A 24430-nucleotide genomic window follows, 5' to 3' on the forward strand; every position below is an offset into this window, starting at 1 on the left:
ACTTTACATGGATTAATTTGTGTAATCTTCAGTAATCTCTATTGAGGTGTAAGTGCCATTATTACCTCCATTCTCTGGATTTGTACTTAGGCACAGGTAGGTTATTAGGTGGTGGACCAGGAATTGAATCTAAGCAGTTTGACCCTAAAACTTACACATAAAATGTTTATGGAAAGTGGAAAATTATGATAATCTAACACTAAAATTAGGATTTTTTTTTTTCCTGAAAACTTTTTTTCATGAACAGTAGTTTTTTTTGGTTATATTCTTCTTCAATTTGGTTTTTCCTTACTTGCACCATCTTGATGCTGGTATCACTATTTAAATTAGTTATATGAAGAGTTTGTAAAGAAAATCTAAGGACTTGTAACATTGGAAACATTGACAGTGTACTTGCCCTTACTCCTTTAACAAAATAGGCTCTTGGCTGGTAAAATTCAGTGATTTATGATCCTGATCCATGAAGAGCACTCTGCTCATATGGGGTTATTTGAAAACTGTTTGCCAAAAAGATTTCTGCTCTAAAAGCCTTTCTAAATGAATGAACATTTGGTATTTTCTTGTTACATGCTAACTCCACTGGCTTAAAGCTTTACTGGTTGTTAAAATGTCAACATCTCCAGGAAATAGGTCATAATAACTTTTACTAGTTGTATTGTCCTTATTGGTAGTGACTTTAATAAGATTCTTTCCTTTAGTCTAGGTTTTATTAGGGGTCAAGGTAAAGAAATGAAGAGGGCATTTCTACTTGAAGTGTCACTATATTGAGCAGGAAAGGCCAAAGTCCTGTATCACTTACAATTTCACTGAGATGCCGGTATTCATTTTAGAAATGATTTTCAATGTTTAGTTTAGTTTATTAAACACTTATTGAGTGCCTACAGTGTGGTAGGCATTATGCATTATGTGATAGGCATTATGCTATGTTGGGGATATTTGAATGAGTATTATCTATTCTCTGTTCTAAAACAGTAAACAATATACTGGTAAAAATGTTACAATACTAGATGATAATGGAACAATAGAAGTATATACATAGTTCAGAAGCAGCACTCACTCATCACCCTTATCACCCTTATTGGAGTTCAGTTAGACATCCTAGGTTTGTATCCAGTTTACTCTGGTGTATGTTTCACAGCTGTATAACCTTAGGCAAGATATTAGTAGTCTCTGAAATGGGGATTATAATTATGCCACCCCAAAAGATTGTCATAGTGAATAAATACTAATTCATTTAAGACCCTTAGAACAATGCTTGCTACCTGATAAACAACAAATATGAGTTATTATTGTTGTTAGTATTATTAATTGACTACCTGTTTGTCTTCTATCTAGTCTGTATTCCTTTTGGGCAGAGTCCTTTGTGTAGTCAGCCTAACATAAATGAATTAATGAATCAATGAATTGAAGAACTAATTCTGGTGGATAGGTCAGGTGTTTGAAGTGTGACAAAGCAAAGAAGGGGATTTCAGTCAGAGACAATAGTTGGTTAACTTCATAAATCTCTGATCCAACATTGTATATTCAGGATTTGTGGGAAATCAGATATTGATGGAGCATCAGTGGACTTGGGTGGGCAATTACTCTGAACAGATAGATAGGTCATTACCATGTCAGGAATTTAGAGACTATCCTCAGGTACGGAGGAACCACTGAAGGGTTTTAACTTCTGAATGACTCTAGATTTTTAATTGAGAAAGGTCACTGTTACTACAGTGAAAAGGATATCGAGACTGGTAAATAAAAAGTAAGAAGGCTATTGTGGCCAAGATAAGAAATGATGATAGCCTCAAGAAAGGCAGTGGCAGTGAGGATGGTGGAAAAGACAAATTTGAGAGATGTTAGGGAAGTAAAGATAAACAAGATTTGGTGTCTGATTTCATGTGAGGTTGAGGGAAAGGAAGAAAGGTGTGATTATTTTCAGGTGACTGGGTGGTTGTTGATGCTCTTGATTGAGATAGAGTTCCTGAAAGAAAAGTTTTGAGGTGATGAAAGGTAGTGAAGTTTTTGATACATTGAATTTTTTTTTTTTTCTTGAGACAGAGTCTCCCTCTGTAGCCCAGGCTGCAGTGCAGTAGTGTGCTCTTGGCTCACTGCAACCTCTGTTTCCCAGGTTCAGGTGATTCTCCTGCCTCAGCCTCCTGGGTAGCTGGGACTACAGGTGCGTGCCACCATGCCCGGCTAATTTTTGTATTTTTAGTAGAGATGGGGTTTCACCGTGTTAGCCAAGATGGGCTCGATGTCCTGACCTCATGATCCGCCCACCTTGGCCTCCCAAAATGCTGGGATTGCAGGCATGAGCCACTGCGCCCGGACTTTTTTTTTTTTTTTTGGAGACAAAGTCTCACTGTTGTACATGCTGGAGTGGTGTGGCGCAGTCATAGCTAACTGCAGCCTTGAACTCCTGGTCTCAAGCAGTCCTTCTGCCTAGCTTCCCAAGTTGCTGGGACTACAGGTGTGTGCCACCACACCTGGCTAGTTTTTCTTTCTTTCTTTTTTTTGAAATGGAGTCTCACTCTGTCACCCAGGTCAGAGTGCAGTGGCGCCATCTCAGCTCACCGCAACCTCCTCCTCATGGGTTCAAGCGATTCTCTTGCCTCAGCCTCCCAGCAGCTGGGACTACAGGTGGCCACCACCAGGCCTGGCTAATTTTTTTTGTATTTTTAGTAGAGACGGGGTTTCACTATGTTGGCCAGGCTGGTCTCAAACTCCTGACATTGTGATGCACCTGCCTCGGCCTCCCAAAGTGCTGGGATTACAGGCATGAGCCACCGCAGCCAGCCTTTTTTTTTTTTTTTGGTAGCAGTGGGGTCTCACTATGTTGTCCAGTCTAGTCTCAAACACCTGAGCTCAAGTGATCCTCCCACCTTGGCCTCTCAAAGTCCTGGGACTATAGGTGTGAGCTACCACAAGTGGCCTGATAATGTTGAATTTATTGTTCCTGTGTGACTCCCAGGTAGAGATGTTTAGCAAGCAGTTGGATATTTGTAACCTAAGCTTGGGAAATAAAGATTTAAAAAGTGGTCAGTGTTGAGAATGATGAAAAGCAGTAGATGAAATCACCCAGAGCCTAAGTATTGAATGAGGAGTGAAGGCTAAGCCTTGGGAAACACAGACGTTTAAAAAATTGGAGAGGAGGAGGATTGAGCCAAATAAATATAGAAGGATAACACAGATCTGGGGGTAAAATCATAAGAACATGATGTCAGGAAAGGCAAGAGAGGAAATAGTTTCCAGCAGGAGAGAATGCCTAAAGTATCAGTTACTGCAAGGAGCTTATTTAGGGATTTAATTGGTAAATAAGAGACAGTGTTCTTAAACTCTTAAGACTTGGACAATTTCTGAGGAATAGTGGGACAGAAGTCAGATTGCAGTTGATTTAGCGTTAGTTGATTTAACTCCCAGCCCTCTGTGCATCTGGAGACAAAAGAGATGCTGGGTACAAATCCAAAGTATTAGGATAGATTTTACTTTATTTTATGTAATTTACTCTCTTCTTGTACTTTTCCTGAGTTTGGAAGCCAAACTCTTCTGCTAGTGATACTACTGAATGAACATTCCATTAAAATATGGACTCAAGTGTAAAAACTGCTTGTCGCCAACATTTATAGGAATTGCGTAACAGATATTTTAGAAGTTAATTTCTTCGGCAGATTTGGTGTAATTCAGAAATTATGCATCACTTGGTATTTTCTTTTTTTGTAATTTATTGAAGGTATTTGAAGACAGCTGAAAGAAAAATGAGAATTTCGGAAAGTTCCCTTGCTTTCAGTTTTATGTGCTTAACATGTCAATTCAAAGTTTTTTTAATGAGTTTTTAAGGACCCCAATATAGAATTCATATTGGAAATACTCATAACTTTATGTTGATACCAGCTGTTGCTACTCTGATAAATTGCTTAAGAAATGATTTAATGGGCTATTATTTCTTCTCCTGTTACTGGAAATAAATGTCATGCATCTTTATCCATAAGGTGTTTAGTGACAGGATTCTTTGATAGGGAACTGATTATAATACAAATAAAAAACAAGTACCTTTTTAAGTATTTGTTTTGTTTTGGTTTGCTTTGTTTTACCTTGCATAATTTTTTGAATTATGGAATAATTCTGTATTCTGCTGGTGATGTTTAGGCAAAACAATGATAAGACACCAGGCACATTTAGGTGCTACTACTTATTTCTGAGTATGTACTATATTGTATTGAAGTGAGTTGTAAGGGAGAAAACATTTCTTAGTGTCTTAGGTTTATGGCTAAGACTCCCTATAACAAAAGACAGAATAACAAGAGAAAAACATAGAAATTTATTTAAGTTTTACATGACATAGTGTTGCAGGTTTTCTTTAGTTCAGCTAAAGACGGGGTCCTTGTCTGTCCCACGCCACAGAAATTTCGGCTTGCAGATGGTTTGAAGGGTGAGTAAAGCAGGATTTTATTGGGTGAAAAGGAAGAAAAGGGGGAAGCAGGGACTCTCGCTAGGCCAGAGTGCTAGAGCGCCTCCCGCCGGCTCTTCAAATTCCAGGTTCCACACAGGAAGAGGAAGGGCCAGGTTCCTCCTGCTGCAAACAGGGCGAACTTCTCGAGTTCCACTCCAATGAGCATTACGGTTGGAGTTTTTCTGGGGCGGCCCTTGCACCTGGCTGTCTCATTCCCCTCTCTAAAGAAGTATATCTAACTGCTGTTAGATTAAGGATAAGGACTAAGACCGATCTTAACTGCTTCCTGCTGATAGGGGGTGCTGTTTTGGGGGAAATGGCAGAGCTCCCTCAGAGACCTATCTAAGGGTTTCCAGCAGAAGGGGCCATCGTCAGAGGCTCTGGTTGCATGATTGTTTGGAGTTTGATGGCCTGAAGGCAAGAATAGACAAACCGGGTTATTAGAAGACATATATAAAAATGAAACAAGGGCACAGGTAAGGGCAGCTCAAAAATCCCAAGGCCGGAGGGCAAAAGCCTGACTGGCAAAAACACTTTACCCTTTTGCTGGCATGTTGGGTTTTTGGGTTCCCTTTCCCTGAGGCCAATCCTAAGCCAACCAGTGTAAGGGCTGGGAAATTAACTCTTTCCAGTTTGGAGGATGCATCCGAGGGACGTGTCCCATAGTACAGAGACACAGTCACCTATCAGTGAAGAGAGGACAGAGGAGAAAAAAGGAAAAAAGAGGGTGCCTTTTAAAGGACTCCTAGGGGTCCAGGGTGTATTTTAAAGGGGAACAGACTGAAGATAAATGGCTACCCATCTAGAAAGAGGGGAGCAGGCGTCCCTGGTTCCCTTCTCTTCCTAGCAGATACCCAGGGTACCTGAGGGAGAGAGGGAAGAGCGTCCTCTTTCCGTCTTCTGTCCTTGCATCCCCGAGTTCTGGTGACCTTGGCAGGTGCCACCATGAGTACCAAAGCTGCTTGCACTCATGAAGCAGGGGGACCTGAGAATTGGAATTATCTGCTCTCACCTATGTCTCTTTCTCACCTACTGTCAGTAGCCTTGGAGTTCCCTAGACCTGATTTATGCCATGGATACTGATGTGGCCTTTATCCAAATAGGAAGCTTGGGCTTGGCTTAATAGGAAGGAATCAGCCACACTCACCTGCGCTGTGCCTTTTAACTTCCCTTATTGTCTGCCTTTGGATCCTTCAGATCCAATTTTCTTTCCTATGGCTTTGACCCAAAATTTGGAATTGAGTCTGGGGCAGAAATGTGTCTTAAGGGGGTTGAATGGACTCCTTATCATAAGCCAAATGCTAAGGTGAAACTGTGGAACTGAGTCCTCCTCCAACAAGGGAGAGGAAAGGATGTCTTGTGACACACCCAGATAACTGGTGCTAAGATCTGGGTACATGGTGCCTGGCTTTGTTTACCTCCCTTGGTCTTACTTTCCCAAAAGGAAACCTCTGAGTGATGATCATCCTATTTATTCCCATCATCTGGCAGGATTTGCAGGATAATTGCTCAGAACTAGAATATTGATCCAGACTTGTACATTACCCATCCCTTTTGTTCTTTCTGAGCTGCAGCCAGAAATTGCTGGTTAGTTCACAGGAACAAGCAGGGTTAGTCTAAAATGTAGGTGAAAACTTAAAAACAACGAATCAGTTTAGAATTTAATGGCAAATATAAGTTTTGAAACGTGATTTCTCTCTGTCTAGTCCTCATGTTAAAAAACAAATCGTCATAGGACTGAGTGGTTTGCAAAATAGACTTTAGTTTTATACTTGGCCTGATTATTTGCATAAAGTGCAGCAAGAATAATTATTTCTACATAGGCCTTTTGGATTGGTTTTGATGGAAGTTTGTTCCATAAGGAATCTCAGATAAGACCTTTTAAGTCTGAGCCTAATCATGGGTTTGTATCCTCAAACACTTGTGAGTTGGGTGATTCTCTCCTCTTAGGGTCCCAAGATAAACTTGGAGCTCCTGGACCTGTTAGCAAGTGACATTCTTTACTGACCACAGGTCAGGAACTCTGTACAGGGACTGTGTAGACAAGGGTAGGTGGCCAGTTTCTCACTGGGCTTTTATGGGCTCTGCAATTTGAGATTGACTCAGCCTCAGTAAAATAACCACTTTCTCCAATTGTGCTCTGTTGCAAAAGAAAAATGAATTCTTACTGCACTGATGCAAACAGCTATATTGCCATAAGAAGGCTCACAGATAGTTTTCAAATTCTGGCGGAACCAGGCAGAGAGAAACAAACATGCTCCAAATCTTGATCATAGGAATATACCTTACTCAATTATTAAAGGCCATAAATAGTTCAAAATAAGTTTCCTTGACTCTGAAAAACAAAGCAAGGATCAGCAGTATTCCAAGTAAAAGTCAAAAAGGTTGCTTTGGCTTTCTGAGTTCAGTGCATTTAGTTAACTCTTGTTTTGCTTGATATTCATGAATATTTCAGCTCTTCATGAGTCCTGTACATTTTCCTTTATTAAAATGTTACAGTCTCCAAAGTTATCAGAAGTCTGTGTTTGAGAGCGACTGTTAAAGTTCTATAGCTTATTATAAACCATCTTTTGAAAAGGATTAAAATAAGACAACAATTGTCTGTGAGTAGCAAAATACCCAGGGTGGTTACAGTTAGAAACACAATTGACAAATAAGTGTGGTTATTTCTGTGGTTTATGATAACTTAACATTGATTATGGTTGACAGCATATACTTAGACATTAGAATTTTAGAAATCCCGTATGATTTTTGAACATATATTATCATTATTCACAAAAATATAACCTAAAGAAGACAGAACATCATTTTGGCAATCCCATATACCTAAACATGTCAAATAATCCTGTTTACCTCTCTTTTTCTGGACACTTCAGGGTCCCCTGAAGTATTTGAAAAGCCAGGTGCTGGCTGGGAGTGGTGGCTCATGCCTGTAATCCCAGCACTTTGGGAGGCCGAGGCTGGTGAATCTCCTGAGGTCGGGAGTTTGAGACCAGCCTGGCCAACGTGGAGAAACTCCATCTCTACTAAAAATACAAAATTAGCAGGTTGTGGTGGCGCATGCCTGTAATCCCAGCTACTTGGGAGGCTGAGGCAGGAGAATCCCTTGAACTCGGTGGTGGGGTGGAGGTTGCAGTGAGCCGAGAATGTGCCATTGCACTCCACCCTGGGTAACAAGAGTGAAACTCCATCTCAAAAAAAAAAAAAAAAAAAGTGAGGTGCCAGGGAACACGGTTTTGAAACTGAAGTTTGATTTTGGGAAGGCTGTTAAATGTTCAAGGTTTAAAATACTTGAAGCCAGGCCTGGTGGCTTATGCCTGTATTCCTAGCACTTTGGGAGGCCAAGGTGGGTGAAACCCCATCTCTACTAAAAATACAAAAATTAGCTAGGCATGGTGGTGGGTGCCTGTAATCATAGCTACTTGGGAGGCTGAGGCAGAGAATTGCTTCAACCTGGGAGGAAGAGGTTTCAGTGAGCCAAGGTGGCGCCACTGCACTCCAGCCTGGGTGACAGAGTGAGACTCTATCTCAAATGAATGAATGAATGAATGAATCAATGTCTGAGAACTGAATGACAAGAAGGAACTCACCATAGTGACACAGGATTTTTCTTGGTCACTTTGCCAGTCGGAGACCTCTGGTTGGTAACACCCCTGTCCGGGTTTTGCTGGGCCTGGGTTCATCACAGGAGATGCCCCACACTTGGCCTGCCAGTTCATGCCCGGTCTGCAGTTTGTCATGGATCCCACGGCCACTGTGACTGTGTATTCAACCTCTGGTTGGAGGTGGGGTGTGAGCAAGCAAGTGTGGGGTCTGGCCAGTTGTTCCAAGTGCTGACACAGAAGCAGGCTTTGTGCAGTGCTTGTTGCTGGACTAGGCATGTCTCAAGCCCACTCCTGTGATGGTCTCTGATGTCCAGATAGAGGACACAGCACCCAGGCAGGGGTGCTGTGACTCCGAAGCCCCTGAGGGGGTGTTACAGCATGCTAATTAGCTCAAGGGGCTGAAAGAGCTGTTAACACACCGCCATCTGGAATGGATGGCGGTGTGTTAACCACTCTTTCAGCCCCTTGCCCCAGTTTGGCCTGTGGCTGCAGGCCTGGCTCAGCCCCATTGCTGCTTTCTGTTGTGTGGGGCAGCTGCCCTCTGCCAGCAGAGGGCAGAGGGCCACAATGTTACAGCCTTCTGTGTACCCAGTTTCAGTGGGTCCTGAGTTCTTGTCCCATGACCAAGAAGAATAGGATCACGCTGAGAATTGAAGAGTGAGGAAGGTGGAGAATTTAATTGAGCAATGAAACAGATCTCAGCAGAGAGGGGACACAAGGGTGGTCCCCTACCCAAAGTCAGGTGGCCTCTCTCCCATTGTGGCTGGGTCCAGGGCTTTTATGGGCTCAGATTGGGGAGTGTATGCTGATTGGTTTGTGAGTATGCAAAAAGATTAAAACAAAGGCAACACTCAAAGTTGGGCATGACAGTGTAAAATGTTAATTAGGGAAGGGGAGGTATATGTAAAATAGGCGAAGGCTGGGGATCAATCAGAGGAAAGTGTGCCAAATGGGAAGACAGATTCTCAGTCCGGTTGGTGGATTTGACTTGTAACTTGTCTTTCAGGCTTTAAACTGCCTTTTGGCTTGAAGGTGGGGTTTCACTGGGGACCTGCCCCTGTCTGCCTAGGATTTGTCTGCCTCCTGCCACTGTCAATATAAAGATCCAGGGAAAGACTTTTCAAAGGATCAGCTAATGTAAAAGTTCTAAGATACGGACAAGCTTGGATTGTTGTTAGGATTGAATTCTTGCTATCCTTATTGTTATTACCATAGTAATTATTTTTTCAGGATTTCCAGAGTAGTGGTAGATTAGGACACAGAAGCCACTTTTGCTGCTTCATTATTCCTGAACATTACTTGCATATTGTACTATAGGTTAGACTCTCTCATGCCTCATAGTGTTACATCAACAGCACAAAATGATAACAAGAAATAACACTTGTTATTACTGTGTACTGAGCATTTTTCTAAATACTTTACTTGCTTTTTGTGTCTGGCTTGGGACAGAATTTGGATTCAGAAAAGAGAGAGGTCTCAAGAAACAAGAGAGGAAGGAAAGTTAGAATGAATTGAGAGGAGCCATAATGGTAAAAAGACATGAAATGGTACTTCAGGTGAAGAGTTAAGGAGGAGCAGAAACTTTTCTCTTGATAAATCTGTTTTCCACATGCCAACTTCCTGTTTTTTATTTTCAGGCAAGAGATAGTTTGGAGAGAAGAGGCTTGCCCATAAGAAAAGGATAGGCTTCAGGTCAGGACAGGAGTTAGCTGTTCTCAGAAGTTTCTATGACTTGACTTTCGATACAGGGAAGTAAGCTACTTTTTTGATCTGTGCTAAGTGTAGGTTTGATATTAAAATATCAAATGTTTTCTTGCCCTCTCCTCCAAATATCTTCTTTGCTTTTGAGTGCCTTGACATTCCTTTAAGTTGGAGACAAAACTTTTAATCAACTATTAAAGTTAAAAAGCATAAAAGGAAAATTCCTATTTGAAGATGCATGTTGGTTTAAACCTACTTAAATCAAAGTATGATCAGTCAGTAAATAACCAAAAGTAACCAAATAATAAGAATAACTATTCTAACTGCAGAAAGATGAAAATTAACAAGGTTGTGGAGTACTTATAAAGTTGTGAGAAAATATCTGTTGGGGGCATTTTCTTTTTTTTTTTAACTTAGTGCTTCTGATTAGCATTGGCGTTCTTTAGTGTCACCTCTGCAGAGGTAAATAGAAGCTGCTTGGACATGTATTTTTTTTCATGTGATTTAATGTATCTGTAGCTTAGTGAGAATATTTGATTCTGTTACATGTTTTATATAGACATTCTTGTTGAAAATAACAGGTCTTGTAGGCAATGGTTCTCAATTCAGCTTTGCATCAGATTAACTTGTGAACCTTAAAAAAAAAAATCCAGATTCCTAAATCCTGCCCTAAGGATTAGGCATTAGTGTTTAAAATATAAAAAGCCTCAGGTCTGGTTTCCTCATTTATAGCCACTGTTGAGACTTGTAACTTTAGAGAATTTATAGAGATATCAGCATATTGTACTTTGTATTTAATATTTGATGATGGCATGCCATATTGAAAAAGGTTTTAGAATTTATTTGCATAAATGTGATGAATCTTTGTAATGTGACTTAGCCAACGCACATTTATTGAGCTCCTGTTTACATGTTGCTAAGCTGTAATGAATGCTAATATGAACCAGGCAATTTTCTTTACAAATACAGATTGATTTTTTAGTTATCTAAAATATGTGAATATTGGGAACAAGTAGTGTATTTTAATAAAAATACACTTATTTGAAACTCAGTTTTTAGGTGCAATATTTAGATTCTATATGAGATCAAAGTAGTTCAGATTCTGCTTGTATAGGAAACTAAGTGCAGATGAAATATTTTACCACTATTGTACAATTTTGTACTACAACATCAGAGTTGAGTTGTTTATACAAAACATTTGTCAACTTCTGAGAAAGACAGTTATATTGTTTGTAAATAAGAACAGTTTTATTTCCAATCTGTATACTTTTTCTTGCCGTAATGCACTGGACAGGGCTTCCATGGGATGTTGAATGAGAGTGGTGACAGTGGACTTTCTTCCTTCTTTCTCCATCTCAGGGGGAAATTATTCAGCCTTTTACCTTTAAACATAGTGTTACTTGTAGATTTTTCTTAGATACTCTTTATCAGGTTGAGGAAACGTGCTTGTATTACTTGTTTACTGAGCATTTTTAACATGAATGAATGCTGAATTTTCTCAAATGCCCTTTATTTTGATTATGACATTAATTGATATGAACATAAGGTCTTTCTTCTTTAGTCTATTAATATAGTGGATTATGCTGATTGATTTTTCCAATGTTGAACCAGCTTGGCATTCCCCAACTAAATCCTATTGGTTGTGATGTATTTTGTATGTGTATATGTATAAAATTTGTAATTTGGTTTATATATATTTGATTTGAAATATATTTGAATATATATTTATTTGAAATTGTTTTATGTATATGTATAAAATGATTCGATTTGCTAATATATATAATTTATAATTTGATTAGCAAATTAAATCCATATATATTTATATATGTAACCCACATATATATTTTTATACATATAGCAAATATATCTTTAACAAAAAATATAACAACTATATCTGTGGCTACCTATCAGGGATGGGTATAATATAGGAAGGCATATTGGTATGCATGTGGTTCCCCAACTGTATACAGTTGTAAAAATTCTTTGAGCTATATACTTTAGGTTCGTGTAAGGTAGTCAGTTAAGAGTCTAGCATCACTTGCTTATCTGTCTGTCCTAGAACCTCTGGTGTCTCAGGTTTTTCTGATGAAAAGAAATTGAGTTCTCCAAAAATAATTAGTAGGTTTCATCATATTAGTTAAAAATAATACTAGAGGAACATAAATTTAGAATATCCTGTGAAGGACAGTGCACCTTAAAAGTTTTCAGAACCTCAGACATGCTGTAGATCAAACACAACACGCCATTCTTCATTGCAGCTCTTTTGAATGCATTATTTAAATACTATCTTTCAATGTTTCCTTCAGATTTCTAATACTTAAATATACTGTTATATTTTTCTCAGTCTGAGGGAAAAGGCCATACCAATGCTGGAGATGCAATATATGAGGTGGTGAGTCTACAGCGAGAGTCTGACAAGGAGGAACCAGTCACTCCTACTAGTGGAGGGGGTCCAATGTCACCCCAGGATGATGAAGCAGAAGAGGGTAAGAAGTTGGACTTACTCAGTTTATTCTGTCTGTATAGCTGCTTTACTTACAATCTTCAGAGGAGGTGTGTGTGTTGTGGGTAGAAGTGGTGGTTATTCCTAACCTCTGTTACCATTAGGCCAAATTCTACAAGGTGCAGAAAAGAATTTGGTTCATTTGGTTCCTAAGTTGCATAGTCTCCAGTGCCACTTTTGCAACTATTTAAATTTGACAGCATCACTTGGCTGCTGTTGTTTTCTATTTTATTTCAATTATTTTTATTTTTTATTTTCTTGAGATAGAGTCTCCCCTGTCACCCAGGTTGGAGTGCAGTGGAAAATCTCGGCTCCCTGCAACCTCTGCCTCCCGGGTTCAAACAATTCTCCTGCCTCAGCCTCCTGAGTAGCCAGATACAGGTGTGCGCCACCATGCTTGGCTACTTTTTTTTGTATTTTTAGTAGAGATGGGGTTTCGCCATGTTGGCCAGGCTTGTCTCAAACTCCTGACCTCAAGTAATCTGCCCGCCTCAGCCTACCAAAGTGCTGGGATTACAGGCGTGAGCCACTGCACCTGCCCTCAATTAATTTTTTAAATTTTTTAGTTGTAATTATAGCCTTTTTTTTCTATTTTATTTTTTCTATTTTATTCTTTGCATATATATATATATTTTTAATACTTTAAGTTCTAGGGTACATGTGCACAACGTGCAGGTTTGTTACATATGTATACATGTGCCATGTTGGTGTGCTGCACCCATTAACTCGTCATTTATATTAGGTATCTCTCCTAATGCTATCCCTCCCCCCTCCTCCCACCCTATAACAGGCCGCAGTGTGTGATGTTCCCTTCCTGTGTCCAAGTGTTCTCATTGTTCACTTCTCACCTATGAGTGAGAACATGCGGTGTTTGGTTTTTTGCCCTTGCAATAGTTTGCTGAGAATGATGGTTTCCAGCTTCATCCATGTCCCTACAAAGGACATGAACTCATCATTTTTTATGGCTGCATAGTATTCCGTGGTGTATATGTGCCACATTTTCGTAATCCAGTCTATCATTGTTGGACATTTGGGTTGGTTCCAAGTCTTTGCTATTGTGAGTAGTGCTGCAATAAACGTACGTGTGCACGTGTCTTTATAGCAGCATGATTTATAATCCTTTGGGTATATACCCAGTAATTGGATGGCTGGGTCAAATGGTATTTCTAGTTCTAGATCCTTGAGGAATCACCACACTGTCTTCCACAATGGTTGAACTAGTTTACAGTGCCACCAACAGTGTAAAAGTGTTCCTATTTCTCCACATCCTCTCCAGCACCTGTTGTTTCCTGACTTTTTAACGATCGCCATTCTAACTGGTGTGAGATGGTATCTCATTGTGGTTTTGATTTGCATTTCTCTGATGGCCAGTGATGATGAGCATTTTTTCATGTGTCTGTTGGCTGCAGAAATATCTTCTTGAAGTATCTTATGAGAAGTTTCAAATGATCTCCTGTGACTTTAGAATTTTCATGATTGTTACGTCATGTCCTGTTTCTCATTTGACATCATTCAATTCTTGTTTTTTTTTGTTGCTGTACCCCTTACCACTGCTTTTTTTTGGAAATAGTGGGGTATCTGCTCTATTTACTACATGGTTGCTGCTGAGCAATAACTGACCTCACAAAAAGCACATATCATATGGCTCTGTGCTCAATACTCTTTTTATACAAACTAGAGCTAAATGACAGATGTTTACTTTTAAGACCTTGTATCATGTGCTTCTAGGGTATGGTTTATTAATAGTAAATTTCTTAATTTTTATTATCTTTGAAAAAAGCATCTTAGAATTCTCAGTCTTGCTTCTGTATGAAACTGTTTTTTTCTATGATTGCCATAAACATAATAATTATTTTTAGCTAATATTTATTTAGTGCTTACTATATGCTAAGAACATTCCAAGTATTTCAAATATGTTAACTTATTTGAGTCTTACAATCCCATGAATACTCTTATTAACTTGGTTTTAAGGATGAGAAACTGAGACACAGAGAGCATCATCACTTGCTAAGCTCACTCAGCTTAAAGTGACAAAGCTGAGATCTGAGTCCAGGCTATCTGACTTTAAGATTTGTACTTGTAACTATGACATTATTCGGTCAAGTTAGTCAGTTGACTAAAACATGAGAACAGCTCACTTTTAAAACTAAGGTAAAATTCACATAACATGAAAATAACATGAAAACTTAAACATGTACAACTCAGTGGCATTTTAGTACATTCACAATTTTGGGCAACCATCACCTCTATCTAGTTCTTAAACATTTTCGTCATCCAAGAGGAAATATTATACCTATTAAGCAGTCACTCTCTGTTCTCCCCTTTCCCTTCCCCCTGGCAGCCACTAATCTGCTTTCTATCTCTATGGCTTTACCTATTTTGCATAATTCATATAAATGGAATCATACAAAATGTGACTTTTTGTGTCTGGCTTCTTTCACTTAGCACAGTGTTTTCTGAGCATATTGTTTCATCTACATTGATACATGATATAGCAGGTGTCAGTATTTCATTCCATTTTATGACTGAATAATAATTGTTTAGATAAAGCACATTTTGTTTATCCATTCATCTTTCAGTGGACACTGGTTGGTTCCATATTTTGGCTATTGTGAATAATGCTGCAGTACACATGGGAGTGCAGCTGTCCCTTTGACATACTGGTTCATTTCCTTTGGATATATATGCAGTAGTAGGATTGCTAGATTATATGGTAGTTCTATTTTTAATTTTTTGAGGAACCACCATAGTGTTTTTCATAGTGGTTGTACCAATTTGTATATCTACCAATAGTGTTCAAGGGTTCCCTTTTCTCCACATCCTTGGAAACACTTACTTTTGCTTTTTGGTAATAGCCGTTTTAATGGGTGTGAGATGATATCTCATTGTAGTTGTGATTTCCATTTCCCTTATGATTAGTGATGTTGAGTACCTTTGCATATACCTGTTAGTCATTTGCATGTCTTCTTTTGAGAAATGTCTATTTAGGTCCCCTGTCCATTTAAATTTTTTTTTCTTTTTGCTATTGAGTTGTGCAAAATTCACATATATATGTGTATTTACATATGTATGTGTATATGTATACAGGCTGTATACATATCTGTATATATACACACACATATACATATATGCATATATGTTATGAGATGTGTGATTTGCGAAATACTTTCTCTCATTCTGTAGGTTGCCCTTTCATACTGTTGATTGTTTCCTTTGTTTTGCAGATGTTTTTTAGTTTGATGTAATCCCATTTATCTATTTTTGCTTTTGTTCCTTTTGCTTTTGGGGTTTTATCCAAAAAATCATTGCCCAAACCAGTGTCATGGAGCTGCTCCCCTTTGTTTTCTTCTAGTAGTTTAATTTAAGTCTTTAATCCATTTTTAGTTTATTTTTATGTATGGTGGTGTGAGATAAAAGTCTAATCTCTAATTTCATTCTTCTGCATGTTGTGGATATCCAGTTTTTCCAAAACCATTTATTTGAAGAGACTGTTCTTTCCCCATTGTATGTTCTTGGCACCTTTGTTGAATGCCAGTTGGCTCTAAATACATGGAATTATTTCTGTTCTGTTTATCCCATTGGTCTATATGTCTGTTTTTATGCTGATCTCATGTTGTTTTGGTTACTTTAGCATTGCACTAGATTTTGAAGTCAGATAGTGTAATGCTTCCAGCTTTGATCTTTTTGCTCAAGATTGCTTCACCTATTTGGGATCCTTTGTGGCTCTATATGAATCTTAGGATTTTTTTTTCTATTACTGTGAAGAATGTCATTGGAATTTTGTTAGGGATTGTGTTGTGATCTGTAGATTTCTTTGAGTAGTATAGACATTTAAACATATTAATTCTTCCAATCCATGTACACAGTATATCACTCCACTTATTTGTATCTTCTTAAATTTCTGTCATCAATGTCTTATAGTTTTCAGTGGAGAGATCTTTCACCTCATGGGTTAAATTTATTTCTAAGTATTTATCTTTTGTAGCTAATGGGATTTAAATGGGGTTTAAAAAATTAGTTTTCAGATAGTTTGCTGTTACTCTGTAGGAATTCTACTGATTTTTGTATCCTGCAACTTTACTGAATTTATGTATTAATTCTAACAGTTTTTCGATGGAGTGTTTAGGGTTTGCTATAAATAAGATAATGTCATCTGCAAACCAGGACAATTTGATTTCTTCTCCAATTTGTATACCTTTTATTTCTTTCTCTTGCCTAATTGCTTTGGCCAGGACTCATTACTATTTTGAATAGAAGTGGCAAGAATAGGCATCCTTGTCTTGTTCTGAATCTTAGAGGAAAAGCTTTTAGCCTTTCCCCATTCAGTATAATGTTAGCTATGGGTTTGACATATATGGCCTTATTTTATCCAGGTATATCCCTTCTATACTTAATATGTTGAGAGTTTTTCACATGAAAGGATGTTGAATTGTGTCAAATGCTTCTTCTGTATTAGTTGAAATTATCATGTGATTTTTATCCTTCATTCTGTTCATGTGATGCATTACATTTACAGATTTGCATATGTTAACTCATTCTTGCATCTCCTGGATGAATCCCACTTGATCATGATGAATAATCTTTTTAATGTGCTGTTGTGTTTGGTATTCTAGTGTTCTGTTGAGGTTTTTTGCATCTGTGTTCTTCAGAAATATTGGCCTGTAGTTTTCATTTTTTGTAGTATCCTTGTCTGTGTCTGGCTTTGATATTAGTGTAATGCTGGCCTCATAAAATGAGATTGGAATTACTCTGTTCTCTTGAAATTTTTGGAAAAGTTTGAGAACAGTTGGTATTAATTCATCTTTCAGTCTTTGTTAGAATTCAGCGATGGAGCCATCAGGTCCTGAGCTTCCTTTTTTTGCTGGGAGACTGTTTATTACTGATCCAGTGTTATTACTCATTATTGGTTTGTTCAGATTTTCTATTTCTTGATAATTCAATCTTGGTAGGTTGTATGTGTCAAGGAATTATTCATGTCTTCTAGGTTGTTTAACTGTTTGAATATAACGGTCTATAACAGTATTTTATGATTCTTTGTATTTCTGTTGTATCAGTTGAAATGTCTCCTTGGTGTTCAGGAGCATATTGTTTAATTTCCATGTATTTGTGAATTTTCCGAAGCTTTTTCTGTTATTAATTTGTTGTTTTATACTATTGTGGTTGAAAAAGATACTTGATACTATTTCAGTCTTCTTAAATTTGTTAAGACTTGTTTTGTGGCCTAACATATGATCTGTTCTAGAGAATGTTTCATACACAGTTGAGGAGAATGTATATTGTGCAGTTGTTAGATGGAATGTCTTATATATTATTTAGTCTAGAGTGTACATTAAGTCTGATGTTCCTTTATTGATATTCTGTCTGGATGATCTGTCCATTGCTGAAAGTGGGTTGTTGAAATCTCTTACTGTTTTTTGTATTGCAGAATATCTCTTCAGATCTATTAATGTCTGCTTTATATATAGGTACTTTGATGTTGAGTGCATATATTTACAATTGTTATAGTCTCTTGCTGAATTGACCTTTTTATTATATAATCACCTTCTTTGTCTCTGAATTTTTTTAATTTTATTTTTTGTGGACACATAGTAGGTGTATATATTTATGGGGTACATGAGGTATTTTGGTAAAGAATGCAGTGTGAAATAAGCACATCATGGAGAATGGAGTATTTATTCTCTCATACTCTTTGAGAGTATTCTCTCATACTCATATTCTCTCATACTCATTCTCTCATATAACTCTTTGAGTTACACACAATCCAGTTATATTTTTAAGTTATTTTAAATTGTACAATTAAGTTATTATTGACTATAGTCATCCTGTGTGCTGTCAAATACTAGGTCTTATTCATTCTTTCAATTTTTTTTGTACCTATTAACCATCCCCGCCTCCCCCTGCAACCCATCACTACTATTCCCAGCCCCTGGTAACCATCTGTATTAGTCTGTTCTCACACTGCTGTAAGGGTACTACCCAAGATTGGGTAATTTATAAACAAAGGAGGTTTAATTGACTCACAGTTTTGCATGGCTGGGGAGGCCTCAGGAAATTTACAATCATGGCGGAAAGGGAAGCAGGTACTTTCTTCACAAGGCGGCAGGAGAGAGAGTGAGAGAGAGAAAAGGGAAGAGCCCCCTTATAAAACCATCAGATGTCATGAGAATTCATTCACTATCATGAGAATAGTATGGGGGAAACTGCCCCCATGATCCAGTCACCTTCTACTAGGTCTGTCCCTCAACAACTGGGGACTACAATTCAAGATGAGATTTGGGTGGGGGATGCAAAGCCTAACCGTATCATCATCCTTCTACTCTCTGTGTCCATGACTTCAATTGTTTTGATTTTTAGATTCCACAAATAAGTGAGAACATACAATGTTTGTCTTTCTGTGCCTGGCTTATTTCACTTAACATAATGATCTCCAGTTCAATCCATGTTGTTGCAAATGACTGGATCTTTATTTTTATTTTTTTGAGATGGAGTTTCACTCTTGTTGCCCAGGCTGGAGTGCAGTGGTGCGATCTCAGCTCACTGCAACCTCCGCCTCTTGGGTTCAAGCGATTCTCTTGCCTCAGCCTTCTGAGTAGCTGGGATTATGGGTGTCCAGCACCATGCCTGGCTAATTTTTTGTATTTTAGTAGAGACAGGGTTTCGCCGTGTTGGCCAGGCTTGTCTCAAACTCCTGACCTCAGGTGATCCACCCACCTTGGCCTCTCAAAGTGCTGGGATTACAGGCATGAGCCACCATGCCCAGCTGACAGATGACTGGATCTTATTCTTTTTTATGATTGAATAGTCCTCCGTTGCATGTAAGTATCACATTTTCTTTATCCATTTATCTGTTGATGGACACTTGGGTTGCTTCCAAATCTTAGTGATTGTAAACAGTGTTGCAACAAACACAGGAGTACACATATCTTTTTGCTACACTGATTTCCTTTCTTGTTGGAAATATACCCAGCAGTGGGATTGCTGGATCATATGGTAGCTTAATTTTTAGTTTTTTGAGGAACCTCCAAACTGTTCTATATAGTGGTTGTACTAATTTACATTTCCACCAACAGTGTACAAGGGTTCTTTTATCTCTACATCACTAGCATTTGTGATTGCCTGCCTTTTGGATGTAAGCTATTTTAACTGGGGTGAGATGATATCTCATTGTAGTTTTGATTTGCATTTCCCTGATGATCAAAGATGTTGAGCATCTTTTCATATGCCTGTTTGCCATTTGTATGTCTTTTTTTTTCTTGAGAAATGTCTATTCAAATCTTTTGCCCGTGTGTTAATCAGATTATTCGATTTTTTTCCTACAGAGATGTTTGAGCTGTTCCTTATATTTTCTGGTTATTAATCCCTTGTCAGATAGGTAGTTTACAAATATTTTCTCCCATCCTGTGAGTTATCTCTTCACTTTGTTAATTGCATCCTTTGCTGTGCAGAAGCTTTCTAACTTGATACGGTCTCATTTGTTCATGTTTGCTTTGGGTGCCTGTGTTTGTAGGGTATTACCCATGAAATTTTTGCCTAGACCAATGTCCTGGAGATTTTCCCCAGTGTTTCTTATAGTAGTTTTATAGTTTGAGGTCTTATACTTGAGTCTTTAATCCGTTTTGTTTTGATTTTTGTATATGGTGAGAGGGGATTAGTTTCATCCTTCTGGATATGGATATTCAGTTTTCCCAGAACCATTTATTGAAGAGACTGTTCTTTCTCCAATGTCTGTTTTTGGCACCTTTGTCAAAAAATATTTCACTGTAGACGTATGGATTTATTTCTGGGTTCTCTCTTCAGTTCCATTGGTCTATGTGTCTGTTTTTATGCCAGTCCCATGCTGTTTTGGTTACTATAGCTCTGTAGTATAGTTTGAAGTCAGTTGTGATTCTTGAACTGCCTCAGCCTCCCGAGTAGCTGGGACTACAGGTGCCCACCACCACGCCTGGCTAATTTTTTGTAGTTTTAGTAGAGACGAGGTTTCACCGTGCTAGGCAGGATGGTCTTGATCTGACCTTGTGATCTGCCCGCCTCGGCCTCCCAAAGTGCTGGGATTACAGGCATGAGCCACCACCACACCTGGCCATAAATGGGATTATTTTTTAAAAATTCTTTTCCACGTTGTTGACAATTGGCATATGTAAATGCTACCAATTTTTGTATTGTAATTTGGTATCCTGTAACTTTATTGAATTTGTTGATGAGTTTTAATAGTTTTGTGGTGGAGCCTTTAGGGTTTTCCAAATATAAGATTATGTCATCTGCAAAAAAGGATAATTTGACTTCTTTCTTTCCAATTTGGATGCCCTTTATATCTTTGTCCTGTCTCATTGCTCTAGCTAGGACTTGCAGTACTGTGTTGATTAACAGTGGTAACAGTGCTCTAGCTAGGACTTCTGGTGCTATATTGAATAACAGTGGTGATAGTGGGCATCCTGGTTGTGTTCCAGATCTTAGAGGAAAGGCTTTCAGTTTTTCTCCATTCAGTATGGTACTAGCTGTTGGTCTGTCATATATGGCTTTTATTATGTTGAGGTATGTTCCTTCTATCTCAAGCTTTTTTGAGGGTTTTTAATCATGAAGGGATGTGGAATTTTATCAAATGCTTTTTCAGTATCAATTCAAATGATCATAGTTTTTTTCCTTCATTCTGTTGATACGATGTATCACATTGATAGATTTGAACCATCCCTGCATCCCAGGGATAAATCTCAATTGGTCATCATGAATGATCTTTCTATAATGTATTGTTGAATTCTGTTTGCTGGTATTTTGTTGATGATTTTTGCGTGAGTATTTATCAGAGATATTGGCCTATACTTTTCTTTTTTTTGATATGCGTTTGTCTGGTTTTGGTATCAGGGTAATACTGGCCTTGTAGAATGAGTCTGGACATTTGGAAGAGTTCCCTCGTCCTCTGTTTTGCAGTAGTTCGATTTGGATTGGTGTTAGTTCTTTAAATGTTTGATAGAATTCAACAGTGAAGTCATCGGTTCCTGGGCTTTTCTTTAGTGGGAGACTTCTTATTATTGCTTCAATCTCAGTACTTGTTATTAGTCTATTCAGGTCTTGGATTTCTTCATGGTTCAATCTTGGTAGGTTGTATGTGTCTAGGAATGTGTTCTATTCTTCTAGATTTTCCAATTCATTGGCATACAGTTGCGCATAGTAACCACTGATGATCCTTTGAATTTCTGCCATCTCAGTGATAATGTCTCTGTTTTCCTTTCTGATCTTATTTATCTGTATCTTTTTGCTTTTTTTCTTAGTCTGGCTAAAGGTTTGTCAATTTTGTTGAACTTTTCAAGAAACCAGTGGTTTGTTTCATTGATTGTTCATTTTTTAAAGTTTCAATTTATTTGTTCTCTGATCTTTATTAGCTCTTTCCTTCAACTAATTTTGGGTTTGGTTTGCTTCTGCTTTTCTCATTTTTTTAAGATGCATCATTAGAAGGTTTATTTGAAGTTCTTCCTTTTTTTGATGTAGACAGTTATAGCTATAAACTTCCCTCTTTGTACTGCTTTTGCTGGGTTTCGGTATGTTGTGTTTCCTTAATCATTTATTTCACGAAATTTTTCAATTTCCTTCTCAATTTCTTCATTGACCCACTGGTCGTTCAGGAGCGTATTGTTTAATTTCTCTGTATTTGTATAGTTTCCAAAATTCCTCTTTTTAACAATTTCTAGTTTTATTCCACTGTGGTCGAGAAGATGCTTGATATTATTTCAGTTTTTTTGGAATGTTTTAAAACTTATTTTGTGACCTAAAATATGGTCTGTCCTTGAGAATCATCTGTGTTCTGAGGAAAAGAATATGTATTCTGCAGCCATTGGATGAAATATTCTGTAAATATCTATGAGGTCCATTAGGTCTATGATGCAGATTAAGTCTGATGTTTCTTTGTTGATTTTTTTGTCTAGAAGGTCTGTCCAGTGCTCACAGTGGGGGTTTGAAGGTATTATTGTGTTGGGGTTTATCTTTCTCTTTAGCTCTAATAATATTTGCTTTGTATATCTTGATGTTCCAGTGTTGAGGGCAGATATATTTAAAATTGTTGTATCTTTTTGCCGAATTGATCCCTTTATCATTATATGGTGACTTTCTTTGTCTCTCAGAGTTTTCTGTCTTGAAGTCTATTTTTCCACTATAAGTATAGCTATTCCTGCTCTTTTTTGTTTGTTTTCTTGTTTCAGTTGGCATGGAATATCTTTTTCCATCTCTTTATTCTCCGTCTATATGTGTCCGTGTAGGTGAAGTTTGTTTCTTGTAGGCAACAGATCAATGGGTTTTGCTTTTTCATTCATTTAGCCAGTCTGTGTCTTTTGATTGGAGAGTTTAGTCCATTTACATTCATTGTTATCATTTCTAAGTGAGGATGTACTTCTGCCATTTTGTAATTTGTTTTCTGATCTTCTTTCTTCCCTTCCTGTCTTTCTATAGTGAAGATGATTTTCTCTGTTGCTATGATTTCATTTCTTGCCTTTTTTTTTTTTTTTGAGACATGGTTTTGCCATGTTGCCCATGCTGTAGGATCTTTTCTTTATCCTTAGCCTTTGGGAGTTTGATTATCAAATGCCTTGACATAGTCTTCTTTGGGTTAAATGTGCTTGGTGTTCTATAACCTTCTTGTACTTGAATATTGGTATCTTTCTCTAGGTTTGGGAATCCATTTCAATACATTTTCTACCCTATCTCTTTCTCTACCTCCTCTTTAAGGCCAATAATGCTTAGATTCGCACCTTTGAGCCTTTTTAAAGATCCTGTAGGCATGCTTCATTGTTTCTTATTCTTTTTCTTTTTGGCTTCTCTGACTGTATTTTCATATAACCTGCCTTTAGGCTCACTAATTCTTTCTTCTGCCTCATCAATTTTGCTATTAAAGGACTCTGATCTGTTCCTTAGCTCCAATTGCATTTTTCAGCTCCAGCGTTTCTGCTTAATCTGAAAAAATTATTTCAATCTCTGTTATATTTCTATGATAGATTTGTGAATTCCTTCTTTGTGTTATCTTGAATTTCTTTGATTTTTCTGAACACAGTTATTTTGAATTCTCTTTCTGAAGTTTCACATATCTCTGTTTCTTCAGGAATGGTCCCTGGTGTCTTATTGAGTTCATTTGGTGAGGTCATATTTTCCTGGATGGTGTTGATGCTAGTAGATGTTTTTCGGTGTCTGAGCATCAAAGAGTTAGGTATTTACTGTAGTTTTCACTGTCTGGGCTTATTAGTACCTGTCCTTTTTGGGAATGCTTTTCAGATATTTGAAAGGACTTGGGTGTTAATCTAAGCTGTATCTACTTTAGGGGCAAGCTCCTCAAGCCCAGTAATGCTGTGGTTCTTGCAGACTCATAGAGGTACTGCCTTGATGGTCTTGGATAAGATCTGGGAGAATTCTCTGGATTACCATGCAGAGACTCTTGTTCTCTTTTCTTACTTTCTCCCAAACAAACATTCTCTCTCTCTCTGTCCTGAGTTTCTCCTAAACAAACAGTCTCTCTCTGTCACCACTCCCTGGCTACTGCCTATGTTCACTCAGGCTCTGGAGCTGTACCATCAGCAGGTGGCAAAGCCAGCCATGCCTGTGTCCTTCCCTTTAGGGTGGGGAGGTCCCTCAGACCCCAGGGTTGGAGGTTCAGAGGTGCCATCCAGGAGTCAGGGACCTTAGAATTCTACCTGTTGTTCTGTCATACTGCCCCTGAGCTGGCAGTTGAACCACAAGACACAGTTCTTCCCACTGTTCTCTCCACTTTCCAAAGGCAGAGGAACCTCACCCCATAACTACCACCCACCCAGGCTACGAGGAGTACTGCCAGACTACCATAATATTCCTTTAAGGTCCAAGGGCTCTGAAGTCAGCTTGTGATGAATGCTTCCTGGCCTGGGACTCAGGCTTCAGGGCAGTGGGCTCCCCATTTGGCCAGGGCAGGTTTAGAAGTGCTGTCCAAGAGTCAAGTTCTGGAATCAGGGACTATAAGAGCCCACTTAGTGCTCTACTTCCCTGTGGACATGCTAGAACCTAAGGTGCAAGACAAAGTCCCCTTTACTTTTTTCTCTGTTTTTCTCAAGCAGAAGGAGTTTTTTCCCATAGCCACTACAGCTAGTAATGTGCTGAGTTTCATCGGAAGCCAGCAAGTCTCAGGGGCTCACCCAAGGCCCTTGATGTAGTACCTGGGTATCACTGCTGGTTATT

At 38.3% G+C, this 24430-nt stretch overlaps 1 protein-coding gene across 12 annotated transcripts in view, besides 1 other annotated feature; it reads left to right on the forward strand.

Annotated features, from left to right (window-relative positions):
* Positions 1 to 24430, forward strand: part of RABGAP1L (RAB GTPase activating protein 1 like) — an 835789-nt gene that overhangs the window by 133381 nt on the left and 677978 nt on the right. For all 12 annotated transcript variants that reach the window (NR_158982.1, XM_011510223.3, XM_047436028.1 and 9 more), the window contains one exon: positions 12086 to 12227. Coding sequence is in view for 11 of the 12 variants with exons in the window: in XM_011510223.3 (XP_011508525.1) it covers positions 12086 to 12227 (142 nt within the window). In the remaining variant the exon portion in view is untranslated. The remainder of the gene's footprint in view (positions 1 to 12085; positions 12228 to 24430) is intronic.
* Positions 9497 to 9697: a silencer, noted in NCBI's record as "peak467 fragment used in MPRA reporter construct". NCBI's record gives its function as "represses an SCP1 promoter by STARR-seq MPRAs in K562 erythroleukemia cells {active_cell/tissue: K562}" and the evidence as "EXISTENCE:reporter gene assay evidence [ECO:0000049][PMID:32103011]".

The sequence above is a fragment of the Homo sapiens genome, chromosome 1 (assembly GCF_000001405.40).
Source record: "Homo sapiens chromosome 1, GRCh38.p14 Primary Assembly".
Taxonomy (NCBI): Eukaryota; Metazoa; Chordata; class Mammalia; order Primates; family Hominidae; genus Homo; species Homo sapiens.